This window comes from Homo sapiens, chromosome 6, assembly GCF_000001405.40.
Source record: "Homo sapiens chromosome 6, GRCh38.p14 Primary Assembly".
NCBI classification, from domain to species: Eukaryota; Metazoa; Chordata; class Mammalia; order Primates; family Hominidae; genus Homo; species Homo sapiens.
The window spans coordinates 74,921,753-74,930,932 of NC_000006.12; the positions used below are offsets into that span (position 1 = coordinate 74,921,753).

General features: G+C 36.2%; 1 annotated feature.

The window, feature by feature from the left end:
* Window positions 8,701–8,870: an enhancer, noted in NCBI's record as "experimental_94546 CRE fragment used in MPRA reporter constructs". NCBI's record gives its function as "activates a minimal promoter by MPRAs in K562 erythroleukemia cells, with activity observed for both the introgressed and non-introgressed 6:75640254 variant alleles {active_cell/tissue: K562}" and the evidence as "EXISTENCE:reporter gene assay evidence [ECO:0000049][PMID:34662402]".

Sequence of the window (9,180 nt, forward strand, 5' to 3'; positions counted from 1 at the left end):
GCCAAGATCATGCCACTGCACTCCAGCCTGGGAGTGACAGAGCGAGACTCTGTCTCAAAAAATAAATAAATAAAATAAATAAATGATTCCTTACAAGGACCATGCACAAAAACGAGCAAGGAAACATATTATTAATGGACATGCTCACTAAAATTACTGTTTGCTGTTGGCTATTTAACAACTAATTTAACATTATGTGTTTTACCATGATTGATGTGATTTATTAATTATTCACTGAGTTAGACCAGCTGTTCTCAATCAGGGGTAATTTTGTTCCCCGGGGGACATTTGAGAGTGCCAGAGATATATTTGGTTGTCACAGCTAGACTAAGAGTGCTACTGGCATCTAGCAGGTAGCAGCCAGGGATGCTATTAAACATCATACAATTCAAAGCATAGCCTCTCACAACAATTATTTGGCCCCGAATGTCAATAGCACTGGGTTGAAAAGTCCTGCTCTAAAAAAGTTTGCATCAAAATAATAGAGAATCTTTGACTAATGTACCGCTAATTCAACCCCATGACATTTTTGGCATAAAAGATGAATTCTATATAATAAAATATCAATATGTTTTTTTGTTAAGCCCGATTTTTAGCCAGCCCCAGACAAAACTACAGATTATTCAACTTTCCTTTAGGAAGCTTTTTACTTTTCCCCTTCTGCCTCATTCCTCTTTTGATTTTTTTTTTTTTTTTTTTTTTTTGAGATGGAGTTTCACTCTTGTTGCCCCGGCTGGAGTGCAGTAGGGCGATCTTGGCTCATTGCAACCTCTGCCTCCCGGGTTCAAACGATTCTCCTGCCTCAGTCTCCCAGGTAGTTGGGATTACAGGTGCCCGCCACCACACCTAGCTAATTTTTGTATTTTTATTAGAGACAGGGTTTCGCCATGTGAGCCAGGCTGGTCTCGAACTCCTGACCTCAGGTGATCCACCTGTCTTGGCTTCCCAAAGTGCTGGGATTACAGGGATGAGCCAATGTGCCCGGACAATATATATATTAAAATATATATTTTGTATATATAAATATATAATATTTTATATTTACATATTTTATATAAATATATAAAATATATATATATTTTTTGAGACTCGCTCTGTTGCTCAGGCTGGAGTGCAGTGGCGCGATCTCAGCTCACTGTGAGTTCCGCCTCCCGGGTTCACGCCATTATCCTGCCTCAGCCTCCCAAGCAGCTGGGACGACAGGCGCCCACCACCACACCCGGCAAATTTTTTATATTCTTAGCAGAGACGGGGTTTCATCGTGTTAGCCAAGATGGTCTTGATCTCCTGACCTCGTGATCCGCCTGCCTCGGCCTCCCAAAGTGCTGAGATTACAGGCGTGAGCCACCGCGTTCGGCCCGGCCAATATTTCTTTATCCCCATCAGTGTGTTCCCTTAAAAGCCAGAATGTCCCCACACCCAACTCCATTCCCCAGGGTTTAGAGCTTTTTCTAAATACGACACTAGGGTTTATCCTTGCCCAGGTTAAGCTCCAGATTTCTCACCAAGTTTTGTCACTTGCTCATGTCATTCACCATGCTAGAACACTGTAAACAACTCATGAAAAAATTTAGCAAGAAAACATGTAGAGTTCTATATTTAAGTTTCATCAACTGAATTTCACCAGGATAGGATCAGGGAGATTTAAACAAGGCTCATGTTGAAAAGATCTGGGATATTTTATCAATCCCTGCCTCCCTAGTGAACATGAACCAGAACTGTACTGAAAGCTTTATGCCCCAATCCAAGAACGTAATGGACCAACCACTTGAGCTGGTAAACAATACCTGGAATATATAAGAAATCCACAATAGTTATGTAAGAATCCATTTCTAGGAGTACATTGACAAATTACTATATTCAGAGGAATCACTAAAACGGCTGGGAAATTCAAAGCCATGTTTTGTGTGGAACAACTAAAAAAAACTTGAAATTCTGGTGCAATAGAACACTTAGGATAAATAGAATAGCAACCTTTAAATGGATGTGCAATGGGTACTAAAAAAGTTACAAAAATTATTTTATTTACTTTCGAGGAAAGAAGAACTAATACTACCAAGTTGAAGGTATAGCGTTGCAGGGACTGAGTTAGGCTCCATATGGAAGAATTTTATGTCATCTTGGCAAAAACTATGGCTGCACAGATCGCATGTTTCTTATTACTAGAAAAATGTAAGCAGACACCATGGTCTGCTTCTCAGGGATACTACAAAAGGAATTCATATTTTAGGTAGAAAGGTAGACTGGAAATCAGTATACGCCCTTCAAATTATAGGGTTCTATAAGTCTAACCATTCTTCTATTAAAAACAATTTTTAACTATTTTCTCCTTCCAAAATAATGTGCCATAAGACTTTCTCTTTACTTTCAATACCCCTAAGAAAATAAAGAAATGCAGTGTATTGTTTACCATATTTCAGACACTAGAAGATCATGTGATCAAATAAGTACCCTAATTTGATGTTACAATAAAACTTGATGTCACTTTTTCTAACATGCAAATATAATTTACTTTAGGCATTAGGGTAAGAATCTATATAATCTTTAGCAGCACAATTCTGCTCTACTTATTTATTTTTATTTTTATTTAAATACTTTCTTAGATATATTTTTTCAGGTAGTTATAAAATTTTTCTTTAAATTATATTTTTTATTTAAGAGTTATTAAGAAATAATAGAAAAAGCAATTAATTAGATACAAAGCGATATAAGCTCCTAGTCCTGGCCACTAATGAGTATGCCCTCTGTCCAGCTAAGTAGTCTGTTGATCTCATTTTTCTCATCCTTAAAATTAGAGTTTGGACTAGATGATCCTTAAGATTTTTCTCACCTCTTAATTTTTATGATCCTGTTACTTGACATCATAGGTAAATTTACTATCAAAGCTGCTAGCGTAAGTCTTGAAGACTTCCAAGAGTTATAAAAAGACCAGGAAATCAAAGGAAAGGGATAGACCCTGGCATATCCTGGTGTTTCATGTTATTATTGACATTGAGAGGTTTCAGTAGTACTGTAGTACCCCAATCAGTGAATAAGAGAAGTCACAGATTTTTGAGGGTTAATTACTCATCCAGTTTGGTATGGTGGAATCAAAAAGGAGGATGGAATGCACACATAAATAAGAGGAAGGAAAATAAACCCATGTCATATTTCTTCATTTTCTTTTGTTCCATTCTGCCCAGACACCCACTACCTTGCAGTGGTCAAGAAGCGCTGGATTTCTTTGACAAGGGTGAAGAAGCCATTCTGAAATATCTATGGAAGCCTAAATGTCAAGCCACAGTGTTGATTAATATTGGTTGGAGCACTGATTGGTGTTTCACACTTGGATGTCTTTAATGCCACATCAATGTAACTGTAAATGGTAGCCAAAGCCAATACTAGTGCCTAGTTCACTAGTGAAATAGGAGAAGTCACTGTATAAGCTGCTATCTTTCCTTCACCAGATGGGGATAATTTTTCTTTCTTCAAAATAAAATTCCAACCTCAGTTCCCCTGTGTAGCGTACGTGTCACTTAAATATTGATCCAACGTGGGTTATCAAGATTCTTTAAAATTTTTTAAGTACGCTCTTGAGATTATTTAATTGAAATCTTCTCCTTGTTGTCTCAAAACTTTAGGCAAGTAGATTACACTCTTTATAAGAACACATTGTAAATGTACTTTAACAACTTGCTTGACTTAATAACGTAACTCAATAATTTTTTAATTTTTTCTTTTTCCTGCAAAGAAAGCCTATGAATATGATTTAAACCAGTAGTTTGTCCACTATCTATAACAAAATAGGTCTCGTATTTTTAGGTGACAACCTATAATTTCCCAGCATGAAATATGTTAGAGGTATTAATTTAGACTGAGAACTCACTCTTAATTTGTTGATGTTCTGGATAGCTCGGCTTGCCCCTCCAGTGTGACCCAGGAGGCTGACCAGTATGGACCATATAAGTGAACTCCAGGGCCCTCTGGCTTCCAGCTGGGCTCGCAGATAGAGAATACCAGGAGATAAGGAATAGAGTGGGGCTGGAGGACATTTTATACACACACGCACACACGCATGCACGCACACACACATCTCTGCCTCCCTCCCCAGTGGGTCATTTCAGGCTGGCTGTAACTCTCCACAGAAAGTCACTGAGGATATCCTCTGCACCACTTCCTCTTTCCAAATTCTGGTTACCGCTTCCTCTCCTTCTCCTTTCAACAACAAGGGTGGCAACAACTCCACTGCTACCAGCTGGCATACTGTGTTACTCTTTTTGGTTTTCTTACCCTATGCCCTTGTTTTGATAAACAATATCTTTTTCAAACCATTCTGAAATTGCTCTAATTTGAGTGAACTATCTGAGTTTTGTTTGTTTTGTTTTGGTTTTTGTTTTTGTGTTTGTTTTTTTTTCTGGAGCCTGATCTTATAGATGAAGTTTAATAGAAATATGTAACTTCCTCTCAGATAAGCTGATTTTGGACTTATTTACCCTTTTAATAAGTTTTATTTTATATTTCTTTAAATTCAGGTTTTTATCAGTTAATTCCTTCTTGTCAATTTCTTTTGGTTTATTTTATTGTATATTTTCAAATTCCTTAAGTAGCTAGTTATTTTATTTCATCTTTACCCTTCAATAACAGTAATATATAATATTACACTTTTTTTCTGAGACCTGTTGGCTGCTAGATTTCATTAGACTTGAAGAAATTATTCCCCTTCCCATTGATTTCCAGAAAATTATTTACTTTTCTGTTTACTTTTTGGTCCAAATATTATCTAGTATTATTTCTTAATTTTTAAGTATTTTAAAATTTTAATAAGGGGTCTCCATTTTATTATTTACTTCTAATTTTAATAGTGTATGGGTCCTATAAAGGGTCCCCTTTTTGAATTGAGTAAGGATTTCTCTGTGGACAAGTACATGATAAATTGTTTTATACTTGGGTACTTGAAGAAAATTATATTCTCTACTTAAAGAATGTAAGATGTATACATCAAAAGCATTGAGTTTGCTAAAGAAATACTATTTTTCTGCTTAGTAAATTGATCTACTTCTGAGGGAAAAATACATTTTAAAAGTCTTTCACTTTCATTGTACTTGTATGAGGTTTTTCCTTGATTTTATTTTTTTAAGACAGAATTTCACTCTTGTTGCCCAGTCTAGAGTACAGTGGTACCATCTCAGCTCACTGCAACCTCTGCCTCCAGGGTTCAAGGGATTCTCCCACCTCAGCCTCCAGAATAGCTGAGATTACAGGCACGTGCCACCATGCCCAGCTAATTTTTGTATTTTTAGTAGAGACAGACTTTCACTGTTTCACCGTGTTGGCCAGGCTGGTCTCGAACTCCTAACCTCAGGCAATCCACCCGCCTCGGCCTCCCAAAGTGCTGGGATTACAGGTGTGAGCCACTGCACCTGGCCTCCTTGCATTTTTGATAGCATTTTCTGTATGTTATAACTGTGTTGTTTGATGCGTGTAATTTAATGGCTGATACATCTTCATAAACATAGATTTATATTATTATACAATATGCCTGTTCATTCTGCTAAGGTCTTTTAACCTTAAATTTTATTTTGTTTGATTTTAATGTCATCATTCCAGTTTTCTTTTGGTTTGCATTTCTTTACATTGCTCAATCCCTTTATTGAGCAAAAATGGAAGGAAAGAAGGAAGGGAGAAGGGGGGGGAGGGAAGGGGAAAAGAGAGAGAAGGAGAGACACAGAGAGATTCGACTCAATATGAACTTCTTAGTAAACTCACATGTCTGAACTTGTTTTTTTAACCCAAAGTAGTATTTTCTGACTTTTAATGGGTGAATTCAGTTCATTCATATTTAGTGCAAGGTCAAACGTTGGCTTTATTTGTTTCGCCTTACTCCAAATTGTTTACTGCTAATTTAATTGTTGTTTCCCTATTTTTCTTCACCTTGGCTTTGCTAGTATGATTACATTACTGGTCATTTATCTTTCCCTCATGTTAATTTCAAGGTTCTGGTGTATTTTTCCATTCCCTTAATGGTTACAGTTGCCTTCCCTGGCCTCTTAATCGGACACATATGTCGCTGTGATTGTTTTAAAAACAAGACACTAACTACATTCCTGTTTCTTCTACCACAGTGTTCTAACCCTACCTGCTTCCTCACCCCTCCAATATAAAGAGAATTTTAAAAAGCACTTTATATTCCCTCCATTCCTTAGTTCTTATATAAACTTCCCACCTTTTGGGATACTTCTATATCCACTTTCTTGTCTCCACATACCTATGGTTTGCTGAGATAGTTTAGTGCTTACCGTATCAAAACTTCCCTTATGGAAAGTCTCTTGTATTTCAAGAATCCAGCACTCACATTATATATTCTTAAATAGTGTTTTCTTAAACTAATATATAGAGCAATAATGACAGTTGAGCATATATTGTGTGCTAGGTTCTCTTCTAAATCTTTACATTTTTTAGCTAATTATTTGAGACCATACTATGGGATAAGCTCCACCATTTTTCTTATTCTTTTACAGATGAAGAAGTCAAACAAAGAGATGTTAAATACTTGCCTAATTTCACACAGCCAGTGAGTGATATAATCAGAAACTGAATCCAGGTGTGCTGCTCAGGGCCTGTGTACATAATTCCTGGGCCACCCTGCCTTGCCCCACCATGACTGTCTCTTTTATCTTGGTCCAGGTTGAGGTGTCTGCCTGAGGTCGTTTGTTGTTTCGTTATAGTCTTTTCTCATGCATTTTCCTTATATGGGGAACTTGGGTGGCATTCAGTTAGTGCTTACCTATCCACGACTTCACGTTTTTCCTGACATGTGAATGAATTCTGGTTGTGTAAAGGATTCTTGGGCTGTGGGTCTTTTCTCTCAATGGTCTGTCTTCTAGTTTCCAACTGAAAATGAGAGGTCTTCTTTACCTTCATTTGGCTAAGGGACTGTGGGATGACAGAGAACAGGGAAGCTTCTTCCTGCAACCTAAGGAGGGTTGACATCCTGCCCACAGCCCACAACCTATAATAAAAGGACCAGGCAAACAATGTGGATACATGCACTGCTGTATCAGACAGATGATCATCTGAAAAAAATTAATAATGAATGCTGAAGGAGATCCAAATGTAATATAAAACAAAACAAAATATCCTCTGGAGATTACAATCATTATTTTCCAATGAAAACAAATCAGTTGATAATAAATAAGAATGAGTTTAACCAGTGAATGACCAGAATCAGTAGCCTAATTTTAATAAATCTTAAAGCACAGAAATTAAATTATAGCTTAAAACACAGGAAGTAGTAGAAGGCATGTGGTAAAAGATGAAAAAGTTATGGAAAGCCTGACAAGCAAATATTGGGTATTTGGGAAGAAAGCAATGAAATAGATACATGAAAATATAATATGTCTGGGCTGGGGAAAGATCTGAATCTGCACACTGAAAGAGGACAGTAAGATCCAATATGTTTTGATGAAAAAGGTGTACATCTAGGCATATCCTGATGGATAAGAAAAATAACTTAAAAACCTCTATATAGGAAGAACAAATTACGTACTGACAGAAAATTACAGTGTTGTCAATGTAGAGAACAAACTGGCTCCCACCCCAGAATAATAAATAAATTTATTTTTTCCATGATTGTTAGACAATATATTCAAGAGAAGGAAACTCATTCTTCAGGACAATTGACCCTATTTCCTTAATAAGTCAGTGTCATGATAAAAGAGATTTGCTCCATGAAAATAGACCCAAAGGGACATACCCACCAGATGCACTCTGTGGGTGGGAATTAGATACTGTTTAGATAAACCAGCAGCAAAAGTCATTCTGGAATCAACTGAAGAAATTTAAATAAGGTTTGGGTATCATATTAGATGAAAATGCACTGAAACAGTAGACTAAAAGATGGCTAACTGGAAAAAGCAGGTTATAGTATAAACAATTACACAAATACACACATATATTCATATATTTATATGTATGTAAACGCATAACATGCAAAATATAGATATGCATACAAACTGTGTATATATATAAAAACTATACGTTTATAAAATGTATTTATATATATATGAAAAATTTGAGAAGACATGCATTAGAGTTTCTACATGGTATTCTGTGGTTGGTGGCAATATGGCATTTATTCATTGTACTTTTCTAATTTTCAACAATGCAAATTAGTATTTTCATAAAATTTTTTCAAAAGTATTGAAGGATGAGGAGGAGGAAGAAAAGGATAGAAAGAAAATGAAAAGCAATAGGAGACAGGGAGGGGGAAGAATGGGAGGAGAAAACGATGTGGAGGAAGAGGAGAAGTAGGAAGGGAGGTGCTGAAAGGAAATCCAAGGACCACCAGGTAGAAGGAGGGTAAAGATTCAAGGACAAAGGACAGCCATGCTATGTGATCAATGTGAGTTCCTGGTACAGAGCACCGGTACAGATGCAGAATGTGGAAGAGCCTTGCCTGTTTCAAATTACCACAAACCACCACAGTAGAAAAATGCAGCCCCTACTATTTATGCTTAGCTTTCTACACAATAAAACATGGCATGATAGATTTCAGAAGAAAAATAGAACTAGATCCAATTTTGAAAAAGAATCCCAAAACATAGATTAATTATGGTTTTCTACAAATTATAGTGCCAGTTTATGCACATGCTAGTGACACGAGTTTTATGTGAAAGTATCTAAAATCATTAAGATGAATCTGAACTTTGTCTTATGATATTCTTATTCTTTATAGTTTTAAATATTGATTTAGACTCCACAACTTTGAACTACCTAATTGTTTTTAATGGTACAAAGCAATATTTACATTCATACTGTCCAGGAAAGAAAGGCTTCTGGACAAGTTTATCTTGTTAATAAAATTGCATGTAGCATATTTAATTTTCATAAATCACATGCTGTTTTATGGAAGAACTTATAATACTCTATAGAAGTCGAAGATGCTGAACTCAATTAAGTTTTAATAGATGTCATCAGCTGCCCCTGAAGACCTTCAACAATTTTTTTCTGACTCTTTTCCTTACTGGGCCAACCTGAAAAAGTAGGCTTAGTGCTATACTAATCCTCCCTGCAATTTGTCAGAATTAGGAAGCCTTGAATGTGCTTATAGTTAAATGTATTTTAAATACATTCGAATTTGACTTTTTATTTCATGAATAGCTGCATTCAGGATGTTAATGTTGCCACATTAGTGGAGTCACA